Here is a 21662-nt window from a genome sequence, read left to right on the forward strand (position 1 = left end):
GAAGCTAAGTGGGGTGGTAAATTGTGGTCAAATTCTATGGTGAAGTCCATGACAAGCAACATGCCGTCAGCGTAAATACAGCGCGGGTCCTCTAGCACAACAGAACCCCTGACATCCACTCCATTCCACTACTTTGGGGAGTGATGAAGAAAGGGAGAGGGTTGGGGTCGTCAGCGGCGGATCCACCCCTCCATCAACCCCCGCCCCCGCCCCGCTCCAGGCTCCCTGGCCCGACACCGCCCACAAACTAACCACTTGTTTTGTCCACGCCCCCTCCCATGGGCACGCCCCAGGCCTTGGCCCCGCCCACCTACTCCGGCTGGACTTGTGCCCGGCCCTGCCCCTTGCGACCGGCCCTCGCGCCGGCCTCACGTTCAGGCTCCGCCCCCGGCCGCGCCTCCCTCCTTCCCTTTCCGACAGCGCGGGAACGGCTGCGGCTTCGGGCGGCCGGGTTTCTCCGGTCTCCCAACGCCGAGGAGAGCTTGTAACAGGCGCTGGAGCTGGCCCGCCACCGCCGCGTCAGGGACGGCGCTGGAGTCCTCCGTTCCCCTCAGCCTCTGAGCTGAGGCCCCACACCAGAGTAGGGGGCGGCGCGGCACCCGTGCCCCGGCATGGCGACACCGGACGCGGGGCTCCCTGGGGCTGAGGGCGTGGAGCCGGCGCCCTGGGCGCAGCTGGAGGCCCCCGCCCGCCTCCTGCTGCAGGCGCTGCAGGCGGGGCCTGAGGGGGCGCGGCGCGGCCTGGGGGTGCTCCGGGCGCTGGGCAGCCGCGGCTGGGAGCCCTTCGACTGGGGTCGCTTGCTCGAGGCCCTGTGCCGGGAGGAGCCGGTCGTGCAGGGGCCTGACGGCCGTCTGGAGCTGTAAGTCCTCGCCCGCGGCCCCTTAGCAGGTATGGGAGGCGGGGGGCTGTCGGGGGAACGACACACACAGAGGTGAAATAAGCCCCTTCAGCGACGGCCTGCCGCGCACCCTATGAGCAGGGGCACCCTTCACTGAGCACTTGCTGTGTGCGGGACATCGAGGATCCGGGAACTCGAGGCACACGCCTTCTGTTCGCTGTAAGGTATAGTGATGATAAGTGGAGGCAAATCACTTTTGATCGCGTACTTCCATCTCTAAAAAACTGGACTCGTACGTCCAGTGTAAGTATACTTATGTATAAAGTGTACACATGTGTTAAAATACGTACATTTTAAAGTACAAAAATAGATACTTAAAACGTGATGGTGGAATACGTATCCGCTATCCTGGTGGCTGTATGCTCTGCTTTTCAAAGCATAACGTTCACTTTAAGGCAAGATTGCTTTCTCTAAGAATGGTAACTGTGAATCCATATTTTAGTGTTCTTGATAATTTCTGGCTCTTGGATGACATTGAACTTTTTTTTTAACCTCTCTGTGGCTGACGAAGGATTCCTACTAGGAGCAGAGGTGTCGGCCCTGCCATTTTATTTGGTTGTGTTTCTGTTATTGATATTATCTCCAATTTTTTGGCAGGCATTCTTTTAAGCCACGTGCTTATTTGTGAGGACAACTTTTGCTTAAAAAAAAAAGAGTACAGTATCTACAGATGCACTTAACTAGCAAAGTTAACTAAAACACACAGAAAAATGAGTGGGTGAGGTGCCATGTTCAGCTCCTAGTGGGGCCAGCCTTCCACTCCTCTTGGATACCCCTCCCCCATAATTTATGCTGGAAACCATCCAGATGCTAAATATTTCTAATGCTTAATTTCTTATGTTTTAGATAAATAGGGGAAAATGGGAGTTCCAATATTTTCTTCCTACACTCCACTTTGAATTTCTTTCAGGAGATGGGTCAGGAGAACTTGTCTGAATCCCCAAATTGGAAGCTATAGAAATGTTTGCCCAGCTATCTGGCTTATTCTGGATAGAGTAAGGAGAGGGCAGGGCCTTAACCTGGGGCCCCTGGATAGAAGAGTATTTCAGCACAATTGATTTCCTTTATAATCCTAGATATTTTATCAAATGCATTTAACACTCATTCTGATCACAGGTCTCTGGCACTAAAACAGGTTAAAATTTCCTGGAGTAGGGTCTTCCCTATCTCTCTACCCCCAAATATCCTCCCCACCACAAATTAGCCATCTTTTAAACTTAGGTTTTTTTTGTTTGTTTTGTTTTTTTTTTTGACGGAATCTTGCTCTGTTGCCCAAGCTGGAGTGCAGTGGCGCAATCTTGGCTCACTGCAACCTCCACCTCCAGAAGAAGCAATTCTTCTGCCCCAGCCTCCTGAGTAGCTGGGACTACAGGCGCGTGCCAACACGCCCAGCTAATTTTTGTATTTTTAGCAGAGATAGAGTTTCACCATATTGGCTGGGCTGGTCTGGAACTCCTGATCCACCCACCTCGTGATCCACCTACCTTGGCCTCCCAAAGTGCTGAGATTACAGGCATGAGCCACTGCGCCCAGCCCATCTTTTAAACTTTGACTCTAGTTTTTCTCTCTCACATAGTGTCTATATTCCACAAAGAAATAGTTGTCTTTTTTTTTCTGCCTCACATCCCAAGTGCCTCTGTGTTGACAAACGGCCCTGCAAAATTATGCATAGGGAGGAGTAGAGACGTGAGGGGTGGTGGGCTAGATGCTGCCATGACTTGCCACACCACGCCTCAGGTCACGTAGGATCTGGGTTTGTGCCTCAGCAGAATTACAGATGGTTACATTGCATCATGGGCCTCTGGAGCTCTGGGGAATAGTGTTGAATCTATTTTAAGAAAAGCTGGGTGCTTGCAGGACAGAGCATTGGTTCTGCTTAAACTCCTGGGGCTCCAAAACAAAAGATCCTCATCCCCCGTCTTTCCCCTTTGGCTCTGTGCATACTGTTTGGAATCTGTAAAGTGATTCCTTCTGTTTCAAGTTTCATCTCTGGGAAGCCTTCTGTGTCCACAGCAGCTCTTGCTGATCTCAGCACACTTAGAGAGTTAATTCATTCAATAAATGCGCAACAAGTGCCTGCTCTGGGCTGGCGCTGTGCTGAGTCCTAGGACACAGAGGAAGGAAACACTACCTTCACCTTTTAGGAACTCACAATTTGGTGAAAGGAACACAAGAGCTGGACAGATGACTGACCCCGAGAGTTCCAGGGGATTGCCGAGGGCAGCCATAGGGCTGCAAGACTAAGCACTGCACAGCATCCTGGAGTATTATTTTTACCTAAAATTTGGGAAAGAACTTTTTTCTTCTTTTGTGTAAAACAAGCATGAATCTATTATAGAGTAGGTTCCAATATGAATTTTGAGCTGAAACAGATGACAGAGGCCAAAGAATAGGGCCTGTCATATGATAGATATTCAATGAACACTTGAACAGTTCTCATCTTTCATGTTGTCCCTGTCTCCATCCACTGACTTTTTTTTTTTTCCTTTTTTTGAAATAGTGTCTCACATTGTTGCCCAGGCTGGAGTGCAGTGGCATGATCTCGGCTCACTGCAACCTCTGACTCCCGGGTTCAAGCGATTCTCCTGCCTCAGCCTCCCCAGTAGCTGGAACTACAGGCGCATGCCACCATGCCCGTCTAATTTTTGTATTTTTTTTAGTAGAGACGGAGTTTCACCATGTTGGCCATGCAGGTCTTGAACTCTTAACCTTGAGTGATCTGCCCACTTCAGCCTCCCAAAATGCTATAATTACAGGTGTGAGTCACCACACCTGGCCAACATCCACTGACTCTTGCAGATACTGCGTGCCAGCCCCCATCTGTCCACCGCCATCTAGCCCCCAGCTCTGCCCAGTCTGCCTTGTGCTCCCTTCAGCCAAACACTTAACTGCTTGCTCTCCCTCTGCTACCCAGGAAACCACTGTTGCTGCGATTGCCCCGGATATGCCAGAGGAACCTGATGTCCCTGCTGATGGCCGTTCGGCCATCGCTGCCGGAAAGTGGGCTCCTCTCTGTGCTGCAGATTGCCCAGCAGGACCTAGCCCCTGACCCAGATGCCTGGCTCCGTGCCCTGGGGGAATTGCTGCGAAGGGATTTGGGGGTGGGGACCTCCATGGAGGGAGCTTCTCCACTGTCTGAAAGATGCCAGAGACAGCTCCAAAGTCTATGTAGGGGGCTGGGCCTGGGGGGCAGGAGGTTGAAATCCCCCCAGGCTCCAGACCCTGAAGAAGAGGAGAACAGGGACTCCCAGCAGCCTGGGAAACGCAGAAAGGACTCAGAGGAAGAGGCTGCCAGTCCTGAGGGGAAGAGGGTCCCCAAAAGATTACGGTGTTGGGAAGAGGAAGAAGATCATGAGAAGGAGAGACCCGAACATAAGTCACTGGAATCCCTGGCAGATGGAGGAAGTGCATCTCCTATTAAGGACCAGCCTGTCATGGCAGTTAAGACTGGCGAGGACGGTTCGAATCTGGATGATGCTAAAGGTCTGGCTGAGAGTTTGGAGTTGCCCAAAGCTATCCAGGTACTTTGGTAGGGAGACTGGGTTTAGAGTGATCTTTCAGCAGTGGTGGCTTTATCCATGGGGAAGGCTGCTTGGGACACTTTTTCCCAATGGAGTTGACTGTAGTTCCTGGAGGAAGAAGGAGGAAGGTAGGGTTGAGGGAATGTAGCCTCCACTCTACAGACTCTTTTTTTTTTTTGAGATGGAGTTTTGCTCTTGTTGCCCAGGCTGGAGTTCAATGGCATGATCTCAGCTCACCGCAACCTCTGCCTCCCGGGTTCAAGCGATTCTCCTGCCTCAGCTTCCTGAGTAGCTGGGATTATAGGCATGCGCCACCACGCCCAGCTAATTTTGTATTTTTAGTAGAGACAGGGTTTCTCCATGTTGGTCAGGCTGGTCTTGAACTCCTGACCTCAGGTGATCCGCCCACCTTGGCCTCCAAAGTGTTGGGATAACAGGTGTGAGCCACCACGCCCAGCCACTCCACAGACTCTTAAGGAGGGGTAGGGAAGGGAGTTATTGGAGGTGGGAAATGTGTCCTAATGATCTATAATGTGGGGTTAAAGGGTGCCAGGCAAGGGAGAGGCTCTGGAGCCACCCCTGCTACCCCGTCATATGTGGGTGGGAAGAATCATGACAGCATCCAGTCTGCCCCTGCCTCCTAGTCTGAGGCCTGGGTCTACCCCCATTTGGGTTGGATGCAGAAGACAATTCTAGACAGCTAGGTTTCACATGGACCTTGTCTAGTTTGGGTTCTTAGGCACTTTTCAAGATAGAGACTTCATGTTCTTGACTTTTTTTTTTTCTCCTCGAGACAGGGTCCCTCTCTTCTCCCCCAGGCTGGGGTGAAGGGGCATGAATATAACTCACTGCAGCCTCGACCTCCTGGGCTCAAGTGATCCTCCTGCCTCAGCCTCCCAAGTAGCTGGGATTACAGGCATGCACCATCACGCCTGGCTAATTTTTTATATTTATTTTTGTAGAGATGGGGTCTCAACTAGTTGTGCAGGCTATCTTGAACTCCTGGGCTCAAGTGATTCTCCATCCTCAGCCTCCCAAAGTGCTGGTGTGAGCCACCGCGCTTGGCCTCTTGACTTTCTTGAATCATCTTTGCCAGCTAGCTCCCACTGACCTGGGGCCTTTTCAGTAGGGGGAGCCAGAACCGGGCTTGGGGTCATGCTGCAGGGGGAGGGACGTAGCAGTGACTGGGCTCTCCTCCACAGGACCAGCTTCCCAGGCTGCAGCAGCTGCTGAAGACCTTGGAGGAGGTGACTGGCCCCACAGTGCTCACCATAGCCTTTCTTCCATCTTCTACCCAGACCCCAACTATGCCCAAGGAAGGCCCAATGCAGTGATATACAAGCTGGCTGGGGGAGGGGGACTGGAGTAAAGGTCTGAGGACAGTCTCTGAAGGAGCTTTTCTTGAACCAAGTGTAGACTTACCATCTAACCCCAGGTAACTTCCTCTTCTCTGGTAGTGCCTTCCAGGATCTCAGGCCACTCCTTCTGCCACCTGAAGGGGTGGCTTCAGTGACTTGTCACTGAGGGCTCTGCCAGCCCTAACATGAGATTTGTCTCCCCAGGGGTTAGAGGGATTGGAGGATGCCCCCCCAGTTGAGCTACAGCTTCTTCACGAATGTAGTCCCAGCCAGGTGAGTCCAGATGACTGCCTGGCTCTGAGGTTACATTCTCTGTCCCTTATCTTTTTCTATTTAAGTTTATGTTTTCCTACCTCATGTGGGAAATGTGGGAGGGGATTTTGTTGTTTTCTCTCTCAGCGATAGGGGTCACCCTGTGTAGTATCTTTTAGCCCTTGGTTCCTTCCCCTAGGGCAGCTCTCCCAGACTTTCTTTGCCCTGGAGTATCTTTGCCCTGCTCTGTCTGCTGTCCAGTTGCTTGAGACAGCCTAGCAGAGGCAGAGTGCATGTCCCGGTGTCCTCTCTCCCCCCGCACTCTGTAAGCAGATGGACTTGCTGTGTGCCCAGCTGCAGCTCCCTCAGCTCTCAGACCTCGGTCTCCTGCGGCTCTGCACCTGGCTGCTGGCCCTTTCACCTGATCTCAGCCTCAGCAATGCTACTGTGCTGACCAGAAGCCTCTTTCTTGGACGGGTAGGTGTATTGGGAGGTACTCAGAGTGCCAAGGACAATGGGGAAGAGCAACTGGGCCCTCAGAAGGGTGGTACTTGAGAGAGGGGATTCCCAGCCTTGTAGACATCTGGGCTGTTTGGGCAGCCTGGGGCAAGGAAAGGATGCCTGCTTAACTGGCAGGGCATGGACCCCCAGGCCATCTACCCACATGGCATCTAACTTTTTTTTTTTTTTTTGAGAGAGAGTGTCTCACTCTGTTGCCTAGGCTGGAGTGCAGCAGTGGCGTGATCTCCTGCCTCAGCCTCCTGAGTAGCTGGGATCACAGGTGCCTTCCACCATGCCTGGCTAATTTTTGTATTTTTATTTATTTATTTATTTAGAGACGGAGTCTTGCTCTGTCACTCAAGCTGGAGTGCAGTGGTGCAATCTTGGCTCACTGCGACCTCTGCCTTTGGGGTTCAAGCGATTCTCCTGCCTCAACCTCCTGAGTAGCTGGGACTACAGGCACCCACCGCCACACCTGGCTAATTTTTGTATTTTTAGTAGAGACTGGGTTTCGCCACGTTGCCCAGGCTGGTCTCGAACTCCTGGCCTCAAGTGATCCAGCTGTGTCAGCCTCCCAAAGTGCTGGGATTACAGGCATAATTAAGCCACCATGCCCAGCTGGCATCTAACTTCTCTTTGGGCACCAGAACCCTTCTAGAAGCTGATCAAGGGACTTTCAGGGATTTGGGAACTGAGCAAGAGAGGTATGTATCTTTTCCAATGGGTGGGTCCATGTGAGTTCTAAATAAAAGAACTTGGTTTTTTTTTTCCTTTGTAACATGTATCATCATCTGAAATGTGCATTTGATAAATGCTGTTGAAATGAAGAAGAAAATAATTAATTTTTTCCTCCCTGTTGGCTGTAGATCCTCTCCTTGACTTCCTCAGCCTCCCGCCTGCTTACAACTGCCCTGACCTCCTTCTGTGCCAAATATACATACCCTGTCTGCAGCGCCCTCCTTGACCCTGTGCTCCAGGCCCCAGGCACAGGTAATTCTGGAACCAGCCCCAGGCCCAGTAGCTCTGCCCTCAGTGTTCTCAGCATCCTTCACCCCAGAGTGGCCCTGGCAGGAGTTGGGTATTCAGTGATTAAAGATGCCTGCTGCTTCCCTGACAATGCCCCTGTAACAGGCTGGGCATTCTGTTACCGCCTCCCTGCTTTCTGCTGTCTTCTGCCATTTCCCCCCAGACTTCCCCTTCTGCTGTCCTCTACCCAGGTCCTGCTCAAACAGAGTTACTGTGTTGCCTTGTGAAGATGGAGTCCCTGGAGCCAGATGCACAGGTTCTAATGCTGGGGTGAGTGTGCAGGCCTCCGTGCTGTCCCCACTGCCACCTGTTCCCCCAGGCTAGAGTGACATCACATGTGTTGGGCCCTGCAGGGAAGGCTTACCTTCTCTAGGAAGCCTTATGTGTATCATCTCACTCCATCCTCTTTCTCCTTTATGAGTCCTCTTTGCCTTTTGTTCTCACGATGCACTTTCTACTCCTAGTTATTTTTTAGGGGATCCTTGTGTCTCACTACCAAATACTTTGTTGTCAGCTCCTGGGGCTCTTGAGGTTGTGACCTCCCTGGCAGTTGTATGAGCTCTGCAACAGTGGCTGCTGGGGCTGGTGCCAGCATCAAGAAGGCTCTGACTACCCATTTTTTTTTGGCGGGGGGTGGGGGGTGGGGACGGAGTCTTGCCCTGTTGCCCAGGCTGGAGTGCATTGGCACAGTCTTGGCTCACTGCAGCCTCTGCCTCCCAGGTTCACGCAATTCTCCTGTCTCGGCCTCCTGAGTAGTTGGGATTACAGGACCCACCACCAAGCCTGGTTAATTTTATGTATTTTTAGTAGAGACGGGATTTCACCATGTTGGCCAGGCTGGTCTTGAACTTCTGACCTCAGGTGATCCACCTGCCTCGGCCTCCCAAAGTGCTGGGATTACAGGTGTGAGCCACTGTGCCCCACCCCTGACTACCCCTTTGTTGGCTGGGGATCTTGGCTGTCCCCAGGGCCTTGCCCTGCTGTGGGAGTTGGAGCAGCAGATAGATACTCAGGCTTGGGTGGGAGGCCAGGCATTTTTCACTAGGGCCTCTGCTTTGCAGACAGATCTTGGAGCTGCCCTGGAAGGAGGAAACTTTCTTGGTGTTGCAGTCACTCCTAGAGCGGCAGGTGAGCAGGCTGCCCTGGGGAAGAGTGGACAAAGAAGTGCTGCAGTCCTTGGAAGCACACGGGGTTCCTGGGTTTCTGAGTCCTTCAGTGCATGGAGGGTCAAGCAGGACAGCTGCCCTACAGCAGCTGCCTGAGACAGTGGGAGAGCCCTGGGCCATGCAAAGCTGGTAGCAGAGAGCTGAGCACATGGTCACTTCAGCTCCACCTCTTACCAGCTGGGGGGGCCTTGGGGGTGGGATTTTTGATGTGTGTGTGTGAATTTAATTTTATTTTTGAATAGGTAATAGATTCATATGTTCACAAATTTTTTTTTTTTTTTAGATAGAGTCTGGCTTTGTTGCCCAGGCCGAAGTGCAGTGGCACAATCTTGGCTCACTGCAACCTCTGCCTACTGGGTTCAAGCAATTCTTGTGCCTCAGCCACCCAAATAACTGGGATTACAGGCGTGCGCCACCACGCTGGCTAATTTTTGTATTTTTAGTAGAGATAGGGTTTTGCCATGACCTGAGGCCAGAACTCCTGTGGCCTCAGCCACCCAAGTAACTGGGATTACAGGCGTGCGCCACCACACCGGCTAATTTTTGTATTTTTAGTAGAGACAGGGTTTCACCATGACTTGAGGCCAGAACTTCTGGGCTCAAGTGATCTGCCCTCCTTGACCTCCCAAAGGGCTGGGATTAAAAGCGTGAGCCACCACGCCCAGCCCATATGTTCACAATTTTAAAAGCTCAAAAGGATACAGTGAAAAATATTCCCCTTACTTCTCTTCCCTAACCATCCAGATTTCCCTCCTTAGGGCTAACCAGTATTACCAGTTTCAGGGGAATCCGCCCCCCTCCAGAGATACCATCTATATGTGGAAACATGTCTACTCTTACTTTCCCTCCTACTTTTTTGGAAATTGCAACACACCAAACTCAGTGCCCTGTAGGTTGCTTTTTTTACTTCACAGTATATTTTGGTGATTTTTTTCATATCAGTACCTGAAATTCTGCCTCATTTGTTTATATCTTAGATAACTGACCTAACTTCTTTTTTTTTTTTTTTGAGATGGAGTCTCGCTCTGTTGCCCAGGCTGGAGTGCAGTGGTGCGATCTCAGCTCACTGCAAGCTCTGCCTCCCGGGTTCACGCCATTCTCCTGCCTCAGCCTCCCGAGTAGCTGGGACTACAGGCGCCCACCACCACACCCGGCTAATCTTTTGTATTTTTAGTAGAGATGGGGTTTCACCATGTTAGCCAGGATGGTCTCTATCTCCTGACCTCGTGATCCACCGGCCTCGGCCTTCCAAAGTGCTGGGATTACAGGCGTGAGCCACCGTGCCCAGCCCTGACCTAACTTCTTTATGCCTGTGGTTTCCTCATCTACAAAAGGGGAGATATAATATTAATAGCACCTACCATATAAGACTGGAGTGAGGTTTAAATGAGATAATTGGTGTAAAGTAGTCAGAATGGTACCTGATGCACAGTGTTTATTAAATAATAATAATAATTATTATTTTTTTTGAGACGGAGTCTCACTCTATCACCCAGGCTGGAGTGCAGTGGCATAATCTCGGCTCACTGCAACCTCTACCTCCTGGGTTCAAGTGATTCTCCAGCCTCAGCCCCCTGAGTAGCTGGGATTACAGGCACGCACCACCACGCCCGGCTAATTTTTGTATTTTTAATAGAGACGGATTTCACCATGTTGGCCAGGCTGGTCTGGAACTCCTGACCTCAGGCGATCCACCCGCCTTGGCCTCTCAAAGTGCTGGGATTACAGGCATGAGCCACCGTGCCTAGCATAAATTATTATTATAAAGAGACAGGTGATTAAGGTGGCAGTGTCTCTTGGGCCCTGGGTCCTTTATATCTTTAACCACTGAACCAGATGAGGGATCCTTGGCTTCCCCTTGGTCCTAATCTGAGCCTTTGCAATGGTAGCCACCATTTTCTGAGACCTGTGTGTCTTATGTGCATTATCTCATTTAATCCTTTTCACAGTCTTCCGTTAGATATCCTGAGCCTCATTTTATAGATATGGAAATGGAGGTTTAGGTTGGTTAAGTTACCTGCCCAGGGTCACCTAGCTAGGAAGTGGTGGAGTTGGGAATTGAATCCAGGACTGGCTGAATGAAGAGCCCAAGCCTTTCTTGTGATTACTGCTCCATCTCCCAATGTGTGCAGGTGGAGATGACCCCTGAGAAGTTCAGTGTCTTAATGGAGAAGCTCTGTAAAAAGGGGCTGGCAGCCACCACCTCCATGGCCTATGCCAAGCTCATGCTGACAGTGATGACCAAGTATCAGGCTAACGTGAGTATTGATAGGGCCTTGGGGCTGGTCCTGCTGGCAGGGCTGCCCTGGGCCTGCCACAAGGGTGTATGAATATGTATGTCAGGGATAAAACCCTGAGTGCTGGCCAGGCACGGTGGCTCACGCCTGTAATCTCAGCACTTTGGGAGGCCGAGGCAGGCGGATCATGAGGTCAGGAGTTCAAGACCAGCCTGGCCAACATGGTAAAACCTCATCTCTACTAAAAATACAAAAATTAACTAGGTGTGGTGGTGCACGCCTATAATCCTAGTTACAAGGGAGGCTGAGGCAGGAGAATTGCTTGAAGCTGGGAGGTGGAGGTTGCAGTGAGCTGAGATCATGCTACTGCATTCTAGCCTGGGCAGCATAGTGAGACTCCATCTCAAAAACAAAAACAAAAACAAAAAACAAACCCTGAGTGCTAGCCAGAGAAACAACAAGTTCAAGCCCAGGACTGGGGAATGAGACTGCTTAGGAGTTCATTCATCCAGCCAACACTTCTTTAGGCCAGATGCTGTGTGGGGCACTGGGAAATCAACAGCGACCATAATGCAATCCCTGCCCTTGAGTTGACCCCGTCACCTAACCCCAGGCTAGTGAGAGGGGAGAAATAAAATAAACAGATAACAGATATTAGAAGTAAGATCTGGTAGGAGCCAGGTGAGAGGTGTGCAAAGGGCATTTGGTGGCAAAAGAAGAGGAGCAAGTGAGCTTTGTTTGTGGTTGGGAATTGGGACGGGCTTCCTGACTTTTTTTTTTTTTTTTGAGTCGGAGTCTCGCACTGTTGCCCAGGCTGGAATGCAATGGCATGATCTCGGCTCACTGCAACCTCTGCCTCCTAGGTTCAAGCGATTCTCCTGCCTCAGCCTCCCGAGTAGCTGGGATTACCTGCCACCACGCCTGGCTAATTTTTTGTATATTTTGTATTTTTAGTAGAGACGGGGTTTCACTATGTTGGCCAGGCTGGTCTTGAACTCCTGACCTTGTGATCAGCCCGCCTCGGCCTCCAAAAGTGCTGGGATTACAGGCGTGAGCTGTCGTGCCCAGACTTCCTGACTCTTAAAAGGTGAATGGTAGTCAAGAGCCAGAGATGAGAGGAAGGGCATTTCAGGAAAAAGATACAGTGTGAGCAGTGAGTGTCTGAGGGGATCTGCAAGTAGTTCATTGTGGATGGAGCCTAAAAATGTGAGAATGGATGGTGGTGGGGGATAAGATTAGAGAGCTAAAGTACTAAGAGCTATTATTTCTACAGTACCTGCCATGTCTCAGTCATGGTTCTTTTATTAAATTTAATTTTTCAAAAATAGAGACAGGGTCTTCTTTTTTTTTTTTTTTTTTTTTTGAGACAGAGTCTCACTCTGTTGCCCAGGCTAGAGTGCAGTGGCGCATCTCGGCTCACTGCAAGCTCCGCCTCCCGGGTTCACGCCATTCTCCTGCCTCAGCCTCCTGAGTAGCTGGGACTACAGGCGCGCGCCACCATGCCCGGCTAATTTTTTGTATTTTTAGTAGAGATGGGGTTTCACCCTGTTAGCCAGGATGGTCTCGATCTCCTGACCTTGTGATCTGTCCGCCTTGGCCTCCCAAAGTGCTGGGATTACAGGTGTGAGCCACCGTGCCCGGCCGAGACAGGGTCTTCTTATGTTGCCCAGGCTGGCCTCAAACTCCTAGGCTCAAGCAATCCTCCCATCTTGGCCTCCCAAAGTGCTGGGATTACAGGCTTGAGCCACCACACCCAGCCTCAGGCGTGGCTCTAAGCCCTTTACATATATGAACTTGCTAGTTTATTCCATGTGTCAGCCCTGTGAGAGATATTCTTTTTTTTTTTTTTTTTTTTTTGAGATGGAGTCTCGCTCTGTCGCCCAGGCTGGAGTGCAGTGCTGCGATCTCGGCTCACTGCAAGCTCCGCCTCCTGGGTTCACGCCATTCTCCTGCCTCAGCCTCCCGAGTAGCTGGGACTACAGGCGCCTGCCAGCACGCATGGCTAATTTTTTTTGTATTTTTAGTAGAGACGGGGTTTCACTGTGTTAGCCAGGATGGTCTCGATCTCCTGACCTTGTGATCCACCCTCCTCAGCCTCCCAAAGTGCTGGGATTACAGGTGTGAGCCACCGCGCCTGGCCTGAGAGATATTCTTATTATTCCGTTTCATAGATCAGAAAATTGAGACTCACACAGGTTAAAGTAACTTGCCCAAGGTCACACTGCCAGGACTAGTAGCATTTTTTCTGTACGTCATGGTGAGGAGCTGTATATATGTATGTATGTATGTATGTTTTGAGAGACAGAGTCTTGGTCTGTTGCCCAGGCTGGAGTGCAGTGGCGCGATCTTGGCTCACTGCAACCTCCGCCTCCTGGGTTCAAGTGATTCCCCTGCCTCAGCTTCCCAAGTAGCTGGGAATACAGGTGTGCGCCACCACGCCCAGCTAGTTTTTGTATTTTTTAGTAGAGATGGGGTTTCACAATATGTTGGCCAGGCTGGTCTCCAATGCCTGACCTCACATGATCCACCTGCCTCGGCCTCCCAAAGTGCTGGGATTACAGGCATGAACCATGGTGCCCAGCCAGGAGCTTTATTTTTAACTTTATCTTGAAAGTCAGGTATTCTGGGCTATTGCCTTTGTACCCTTATGTCGGGGGTGTTACAGGCCCATTTGATGATTTGATGTAGACCCTCCCAGAAAGATGGAAGTATGAACATGCTTCTGTTGCACAGTTTCAGGGGAGCTCCTGAATCCTCTGGAGATCTAGGCAGAAGGACCTCCAATGTGAGGCATCAGGAGTCATTCAAGGGCCTTCAACCTGGGAGTAACTTCATCAGATCTGTACTATTAAGAAGCATCTGGCTTCTGTGAGGAGTGGGATTGGAGGGTGAAGATACAGGGCCTGAGACCTGTCAGGAGGTTGTAGCAACAGGGCAGAAAGAGAAAGTGTGATCCAAAAGGAAGGTAGCTGTCACAGTAGAGTGTCTGTGAACCTCAGTTTTCTCCTCTGTAAAATGGGAGGGTCTTGAGGATTATATACAGCAATGCATATATATGATGTATATGTATGTTTGTATATGGATTGATGCATATAAAGTGCTGCCACATAGTAAACACACAATGATTGTCAACTGTTACTAATGTGGCCGGCTTAGTAAATTGTGCAGCTAGTATTTGGCTCCAGGTCTACCTCGTTAACCATGGTGAAATAATGAGATTAGATTGCTCAGGAGTCTCCTCCTCTTTCCATCCTCCTGGCCTCCTCTCTCCTCAATAGAGCCCCTGGGGTAGTCGGGAGACGGGAGGGATCAGTTGCTGGAGTCCTGACATGATTTTTCCTTCTCCCCAGATCACTGAGACCCAGAGGCTGGGCCTGGCTATGGCCCTAGAACCTAACACCACCTTCCTGAGGAAGTCCCTGAAGGCCGCCTTGAAACATTTGGGCCCCTGACCATCCACCAAGGGACCACCCTCTTGGTGCTCCATCACCAGCTTCCTGAAGGGCATTTCTTTCTTCACCACCTTGTCTTGAGCCCTAGCCTGAGGATAAAGGCTGAGCCTGGCCATCCCAGATTGCAACTGCCTCCCTGTTACAGGCTGCATAGGGAATATTGGCTTCCCAGCCAGCAGGGAGGCTCCTGGGCTAAGGGAGCTCAGCTATATTTTCTTTTTCATTTCTTTTGTTTTTGAGAGAAGGTATTGCTCTGTCATCCAGGCTGGAGTGCAGTGATGCGATTGATCATGGCTCACTGTAACCTCTGCCTCCCAGGCTCGATCCTCCCATGTCAGCCTCCCAAGTAGCTGGGACTACATGCACATGACACTATGCCCAGCTAATTTTTTATTTTGTAGATAATATGCTGGTCAGGGCTGGTCTTGAACTCCTGAGCTCAAGTGATCTTCCTGCCTTGGCACCCAAAGTGTTGAGATTTACAGGTGTGAGCCACCACACCAGGCCAGAGCTATATTTCCAAAGGCTGCTGGCCCCAGGCACACTCCTCATCAATTCTCAGGCTGCAGGGACAAACTTTCCGATAGGGCTCAGTAGGATCAAGCCGACCCAGAGTGGGCATGGGATGCTCCAGGAGGTCTGGGGTACCAGTGGGCTCAGATGAAGCTCTTGTGCTCATGTATATTATGACCTTCTGTGTTTTTGTTTCTGACTTGAATAATTTATCAATGGTGTTGAATAAAAGCAAGTTCAATAATGTCTTTTTCTTTTTTTTTTTTCGAGTCTGAGTCTCGCACTGTCGCCCAGGCTGGAATGCAATGGCATGATCTCGGCTCACTGCAACCTCTGCCTCCCCAGTTCAAGCGATTCTCCTGCCTCAGCCTCTTGAGTAGCTGGGATTACAGGCGCATGCCACCATGACCCGCTCATTTTTGTATTTTTAGTAGAGACGAGGCTGGTCTCAAACTCCTGACCTCAGGTGATCCGCCTGCCTCCCAAAGTGCTGGGATTACAGGCGTGAGCCACCACGCCTGGCCAATGTCTTATTAGAAGCAGTACCTTCCTTCCCATGAATTCTGGGTATTGAGCCCATCCGCACCCCCTCCACTTCCCTGCTCAATGACAAGGAACATCTTTTTCCTGGTGAGGGGAAGGGTGTAGGGTATCTTATTCACCCTCTGAGGGCCAAATAATGTGTAATACCACCCACCCCATCCTATAGGAGCTGCCCCCACCAGGCAGGGGGGTAGGTGAGAATGGGCATCTTAAAGGTGGGAGTGACTCAGTCTGGAGTTCGGGAAGGGTTTTGGGCAGATGAATCCGAGGAGAGATCTGAAGGGCTCTGGGGGTTACTGTGGCTAAGAGGATGAGACCCATTGGACAGAGGAAAGAGCAGAGAAGACACCTTATGGGTGTGCAGTGCTGTGTGCCTGTTTTACATCCTTGTATTCCTGTAGCACCTGGCTAGACGCCTTATTCATAGCAGTCACACTTAAAACGTAGATGTTATCAAATTAACTATCAAGTGAAAGTTCACTTAAGGACTTTCCCAGCTCTTCCCCTCTGCAGGCGTTGAAAGGACAGGAACAGAACTTTCCGGACACTTCCCTTACCACGAGTCCACGTTAGAGCAAGGTGCTGAGGGAGGGAGGTCGGGCCAGGCTTCCTTTTGAGAACATAAGCTGGTGCGGAGGGCGCGAGGGGAGAGGGGTTTGAGGGACAAGCGTGCCGGAATCCACGCTGTCAGTGAACATCACTGGGCTGTACCAGTACGTGTGACTACCGAAGCTCGAGCCCCGAACCCAGCCGCTTCCCTAGGGGTCCAGCAGCAGCGGGCGCGAATCGGCACATTACCGGGGGACCGCGGGGCGCTCAGGACTGCGACAACTCTGTGGGTTACCGCGCCGGCCTAGCGGCCCAGCGACGCCCCCCAGCGGCCAGAGAAGGCCGCGCTTCTCGGGGTTGGCCCACCCAACCGCTCTGCGGGTAGGACCGAGGAGCAAAGCATTATCGCGAGATCAGGGCCACTATTTGAGCGCATGCGCAAGACATGCTAGTCTCTTTTCCGGTTAGCGCGGCGTGAGAAGCCATGAGGTGAGTTGGTCCTGAAAGCCCTATCCGCGTTCATCCGCGCCTTCAGGTGCCCCGCCGAGGGTTCGGATCCTGTAGGCCGCGCCGCGGACCCTTGCGCCACCTGCGCCGCGGGGCATTTCTCAAGGCGGGTCGGCCTGCGGGTCGCCCTTCCTACCAGGTCCGATCACTGAGAGCCTCCCTCTTCCACCGGGGCTTGGGTCTGGGTCTGAGCTCCCGTCGCTCTACTTGGTGTCCGGAATCTACGGGGGAGTCCGCCGTGGGCCGCCCGCCCGTCTCGAAGCCTAGACCTCGGAGGCTTCCAGGCAGTCCGAGCGTGTGGACTCCGCGGCCCTGAGCGCCCTGTCGCTTCTCTCCCGCAGCAGCAAAGTCTCTCGCGACACCCTGTACGAGGCGGTGCGGGAAGTCCTGCACGGGAACCAGCGCAAGCGCCGCAAGTGAGTGCCGACCCTGGGGCACGGCGCGGGTGGCGAGGGCCGGCGGGTGCTTAACCCCCCTCCTCTCTCGAAGGTTCCTGGAGACGGTGGAGTTGCAGATCAGCTTGAAGAACTATGATCCCCAGAAGGACAAGCGCTTCTCGGGCACCGTCAGGTTGGCACCGTTCTGATCCCACCCAGCCCTCAGTGCCCCCGTGCTTGCCCCTCCCCTGCAGGCTCCCGCTGAGCCGGAGGCGGGCACGTCGGTACTGATGTGCTAGGGTAGTTCAGACCCCCTGCTCCGGGCAGGCGCGGCTGGACGGACCCCCACCCTGGGTCTTAAAACATGAGGGGAGGCGTGGGTAGGCCTCGGCCGAGCCCGCCGGCCAGCCTGAGAAGCCAGGCTGGCTGCTGGTGAATGTGAACGCTCCGGGTAAGGCTCGGTGGCTGCTGCGGTCCCAGACCCTTCACCGGCCCTTGGGACCCAGGGCTAGGCGTAACCTGTTGGTGCTGTCCCCCAAAACGCAGGCTTAAGTCCACTCCCCGCCCTAAGTTCTCTGTGTGTGTCCTGGGGGACCAGCAGCACTGTGACGAGGCTAAGGCCGTGGATATCCCCCACATGGACATCGAGGCGCTGAAAAAACTCAACAAGAATAAAAAACTGGTCAAGAAGCTGGGTGAGTCCGGCCGCTGTGGTTTTGCATGTGAGATGTGTGGTGGGGGCGGTAGAAAGGCTTTTCTGCCATTTTCGATTTTTAAATGATGAGGGGCCTAGAATAGCAAAGGATCGGCGGTGGTTGCCTAGCTTGCCTGAGTGCTGTTTTAGCTTTGGGGTGGTTTGATGTTTGTATTGCTATGAGGATTCCAGTTGATGAGGGAGGCCAGGCATTGTAAGTTGACCAGCCAGGTGCTGGTGAACTATGATTTGGAAATCTTTACGCTGCGTTGTTTAGGCAGTGGCATTAGACTGCTTTTACAGGTAGGAAGCAGACATTCCCAGTTGTCACGTGTCCAGGGTCCACAGCTAAGAAATAGGCAGAATTCGAGCCCAGGCAGTCTTGACCAGAGCATCCGTTGTACAGCGGTTATGCCATGGATCATGGGTCAGCCTGGTTTTCTGAGAGCATGTTTTGGGACCAGTGAAGGTCCAGAGGACTTTCTGGAAACCGTTTGGGCTAGGGAAAAGACTGAGGCGGGGTCTTAGAGAGGGTGCTGCTTGGAGGTCACTTACATGATTGATTCAAGTGCGTTTCTGGCCTGCCACATTTGAGGTGTGCCTTGGTGACCAGGTTCTAAGCAATGCCAATGGCTTCCTCTCTCTATCAGCCAAGAAGTATGATGCGTTTTTGGCCTCAGAGTCTCTGATCAAGCAGATTCCACGAATCCTCGGCCCAGGTTTAAATAAGGCAGGAAAGTTCCCTTCCCTGCTCACACACAACGAAAACATGGTGGCCAAAGTGGATGAGGTGAAGTCCACAATCAAGTTCCAAATGAAGAAGGTGAGTGGGTCTGGCGGGTTGCTATGGGTGAAGGTGTTGGCAGGGTCTAAATCTTATCCAAGTCTCTAAATATGCCAGTAAGAGCACCCACCAGGATTGAAACTTTTGGAGTAACCCTGGTCTTGGCCCGGGTCCAAGTACCTGCTCACCAGGCCACTGGGGGAGGAAGGACAGGCCATCTGCTATTCGTCCACCAACCTGACTTGATCCTCTCTTCCCTCCTCCCAGGTGTTATGTCTGGCTGTAGCTGTTGGTCACGTGAAGATGACAGACGATGAGCTTGTGTATAACATTCACCTGGCTGTCAACTTCTTGGTGTCATTGCTCAAGAAAAACTGGCAGAATGTCCGGGCCTTATATATCAAGAGCACCATGGGCAAGCCCCAGCGCCTATATTAAGGCACATTTGAATAAATTCTATTACCAGTTCCCTCTGTCTGCCTGTGATTGAGGGTGGGGGGTGGTTTGTCAGCTGACAAGTGAGGGCCTTGGCACTGCTGATGGCTAGTTGTGTAGTTTGTCACTTTGATGATGGATAGTTGGGTACTATAGGGAAGAGGATGTTTTTCTGCCATCAAAATCAGGCAGTCTTGCATATGTGATAGGGTTGCTAACGGCATTGAAGCTTTTTGACAGGATTGGTCCATGTAAATTTAAAATAAGGATTTTAGTCAGCATTTCTGTGTTAAGAAGACCACATGTGGAGTATCCTATGCTTTGGGTTAGTAATGAGTAAATGTTAAGGAAAACAAGGCACAGCAAACCAGTACAAAAGTATAATTAATGGACCTTGTTTTTTTTTTTTAAATGGAGTTTGTAGCCCAGGCTGGAGCGCAATGGTGCGATCTCAATCTGTGGGTCCCAGTTCAAGCAATTCTGCCTCGGCCTCTCAAAGTGCTGGGATTACAGGTGTGAGTCACCATCCCCAGCCAGATCCTGTTAACAGTATTCCAGGTCCTTGCCCCAGGCAGGCTAAGCCCCCTCCTTTTCTGAGGCATTTCCCTGTTGGCAGTTCTTGCCTCTAGCACCCAGTACTGCTTTAACCTTTGACTAAAATGAGCTTAGTTTGACTTTGGTAAATAGGGGAACAAGTTCATCCCTGCTTTTTTTTTTTTTGAGTCTTCGCTCCATTCCCCAGGCTGGAGTATAAGTGGCGTGATCTGGGCTCACTGCAAGCTCCGCCTCCTGGGTTCATGCCATTCTGCCTCAGCCTCCCGAGTAGCTGGGACTACAAGCGCCCGCCACTATGCCCGGCTAGTTTTTTGGTATTTTTAGTAGAGACAGGGTTTCACCGTGTTAGCCAGGAGGGTCTCCATCTCCTGACCTTGTGATCCGCCCGTCTGGGCCTCCCAAAGTTCTGGGATTACAGGCGTGAGCCACCACCCCCGGCTGAGAACGGTTATTTTAAAGCATAAAAGCAGTGCTTAACAATGCTGTATTTTGGCTGGGTGCGGTGGCTCACGCCTGTGATCCCAGCTACTTGGGAGGCCGAGGCAGAACTGTTTGAACCTGGGAGGTGGAGGTTGCAGTGAGCTGAGATCGCACCACTGCACTCTAGCCTGGGCAACAGCAAGAGTCCATCGGTGGTATGTGTGGGAGTCGGGGGGTCGGGGGAGATGCTGCATTTCTCAAAACAAGCCTTCCCTGTCCCTGAAATGAAGAACACAGGGTTTTTACTCTGAGCAGCTTTTGCTTTTTTAGCTTTTAAGAAGTTAACAGCACTTTCTTGGTAAGAAAGGTATAAAACCTAATGAGGATGAGCAGTGAATTTTGGTTCTCAAGACAGGTCCAGCCAGCTACTTGTTGTGGTTATTTTTCTTTTCTTTGGGCTTTTCTGTATTTTCTGAACCTCCTGTGATCTTTGCAATCAGAAGGAAAAGGGAAACTTCAGCTTAAAGCAAAAGCAATTATCTGAAGGCTCGTGTGCTAATCGCCCACAGATGTAATCGGTGTCCAGTGCAGCCTCCAGGAATTTCTGCTTCCTGGACCCCTCCTACCTACTGGGGCTCGGTACCCTCCCACCCATCCAGCAGGTGACAGTTTGGGGCTCCTAGTGGGATACCAGGCACACAACGTGGAGTCAGGCAGACCAGGTTGGAATCCTGATGTTGGCAGTGACTGGCTGTGAGAAGTACATTTAACATGTCTCAAGTTCTCCCGATCTGTTAACTTGAAGGTTGGACTAGAATGACCTAGAAGACTAGATTCTAGAGGGTTGCCAGATTTAGCAAATAAAAATGCAGGATGTCCTTAGTATTGCATGGAACATACTTAAATCATCTGTTTATCTGAAATTAAAATTTAACTGGGTCATCCCCATTCTGTTTAACCCTTTATTCTAGAGTCTCATCTCTAGCCTGCCACCCTTAGAGCAAATACAGTTTCATCCTGTGACAAGTGAGTCCAATCAGTTCACCCATATTTAACTGCAGGAGAAAAAGCTAGAACAGCCTCTTTGGGAAAATGTTTGCTTAAAGCTTTTTTTTTTTTTTTTTGAGACGGAGTTTAGCTCTGTCACCCAGGCTGGAGTGCAGTGGTGCAATCTCGGCTCACTGCAATGCAACCTCCACCTCCCGGGTTCAAGCTATTCTCCTGCCTTAGCCTCCTGAGTATTTGGGACTACAGGCGTGTGCCACCACACCTGCCTAATTTTTTGCATTTTTTTTTTTTTAGTAGAGACGGGGTTTCACCATGTTAGCCAGGATGGTCTTGATCTGACCTCGTGATCCACCCGCCTCAGCCTCTCAAAGTGCTGGGATTACAGGTGTGAGCCACTGTGCCCGGCCGCTGAAAGTCTTGAACTATCTCTGCCCCAGCCCTCTAAGGACTGTGGTCTGTCCCTACTGTGGACAGGTGGCTCAGGACAGCAGGGCTTTCCAGGCAGACATGGGTAGGTCAGCAGTTGTCACCTGGGGAGAGCGCTTACCCTCCTTGAGTCACTTAGGGTCAGTTGCTAACCCCTAGGCTTTGGTCTGTGTTGTGCTGGCTTATCAGGGGGCCCTGGAGCTTCCATCTCAGTCAATGTGCGACCTTGAGCACATCACTTCCCTTAGGTGACCTCAGGCCAGCACACACAAGTGCTCAGCTGGAAGCAGGAGGGAGTGAGGGAAATGTTGAGTGTGGGTAGGCCTTGGGGCCCCCCAAGAGATGATGGCATTGCAGGGGTTGGCGGTGATGACACACCAGGACCTAGGAGGAGCCCTCACCTGAAGCTGTTCCAATCCAAAGGTCTGGCACACAAGTGG

At 51.5% G+C, this 21662-nt stretch overlaps 2 protein-coding genes and 1 non-coding gene across 12 annotated transcripts, besides 5 other annotated features; all 3 read left to right on the forward strand.

Annotated features, from left to right (window-relative positions):
* Window positions 55-954: a silencer, noted in NCBI's record as "silent region_17092". NCBI's record gives its function as "represses an Ori minimal core promoter by ATAC-STARR-seq in GM12878 lymphoblastoid cells {active_cell/tissue: GM12878}" and the evidence as "EXISTENCE:reporter gene assay evidence [ECO:0000049][PMID:35858748]".
* FANCE (FA complementation group E) lies at window positions 404-15168 on the forward strand. Of its 10 annotated transcripts, none has more exons than NM_021922.3 (10): window positions 404-859; window positions 3813-4419; window positions 5622-5666; window positions 5982-6050; window positions 6363-6506; window positions 7397-7520; window positions 7748-7826; window positions 8618-8684; window positions 10855-10980; window positions 14310-15168. In NM_021922.3, the coding sequence occupies exons 1-10, from the start codon at window positions 612-614 to the stop codon at window positions 14409-14411; spliced, it is 1611 nt and encodes a 536-aa protein (NP_068741.1). In that variant the 5' UTR covers window positions 404-611; the 3' UTR covers window positions 14412-15168. The 10 variants fall into 10 exon arrangements, with proteins under 10 accessions (NP_068741.1, XP_005248942.1, XP_005248944.1 ...); XM_005248885.3 differs by having other exon boundaries at window positions 6384-6506; XM_047418302.1 differs by having other exon boundaries at window positions 736-888.
* Window positions 15907-15956: an enhancer, noted in NCBI's record as "active region_24405". NCBI's record gives its function as "activates an Ori minimal core promoter by ATAC-STARR-seq in GM12878 lymphoblastoid cells {active_cell/tissue: GM12878}" and the evidence as "EXISTENCE:reporter gene assay evidence [ECO:0000049][PMID:35858748]".
* Window positions 16233-16789: an enhancer, noted in NCBI's record as "NANOG-H3K27ac-H3K4me1 hESC enhancer chr6:35435944-35436500 (GRCh37/hg19 assembly coordinates)". NCBI's record gives its function as "activates a minimal SCP1, AML or CMV promoter by ChIP-STARR-seq in primed H9 embryonic stem cells {active_cell/tissue: H9 hESC(primed)}" and the evidence as "EXISTENCE:reporter gene assay evidence [ECO:0000049][PMID:30033119]".
* RPL10A (ribosomal protein L10a) lies at window positions 16467-18846 on the forward strand. The gene is made up of 6 exons (NM_007104.5): window positions 16467-16505; window positions 16865-16939; window positions 17013-17093; window positions 17447-17595; window positions 18245-18417; window positions 18646-18846. Exons 1-6 carry the CDS (start codon window positions 16501-16503, stop codon window positions 18814-18816), a joined length of 654 nt encoding a protein of 217 aa, NP_009035.3. The 5' UTR covers window positions 16467-16500; the 3' UTR covers window positions 18817-18846.
* Window positions 16967-17036: an enhancer, noted in NCBI's record as "active region_24406". NCBI's record gives its function as "activates an Ori minimal core promoter by ATAC-STARR-seq in GM12878 lymphoblastoid cells {active_cell/tissue: GM12878}" and the evidence as "EXISTENCE:reporter gene assay evidence [ECO:0000049][PMID:35858748]".
* Window positions 17097-17196: an enhancer, noted in NCBI's record as "active region_24407". NCBI's record gives its function as "activates an Ori minimal core promoter by ATAC-STARR-seq in GM12878 lymphoblastoid cells {active_cell/tissue: GM12878}" and the evidence as "EXISTENCE:reporter gene assay evidence [ECO:0000049][PMID:35858748]".
* Window positions 18574-18645, forward strand: MIR7111 (microRNA 7111). Its single transcript, NR_106961.1, has one exon. It is a non-coding gene; the product is annotated as a microRNA 7111 (primary transcript).
* Window positions 18847-21662: the final 2816 nt, after the last annotated feature.

This window comes from Homo sapiens, chromosome 6 (genome assembly GCF_000001405.40).
Source record: "Homo sapiens chromosome 6, GRCh38.p14 Primary Assembly".
NCBI classification, from domain to species: Eukaryota; Metazoa; Chordata; class Mammalia; order Primates; family Hominidae; genus Homo; species Homo sapiens.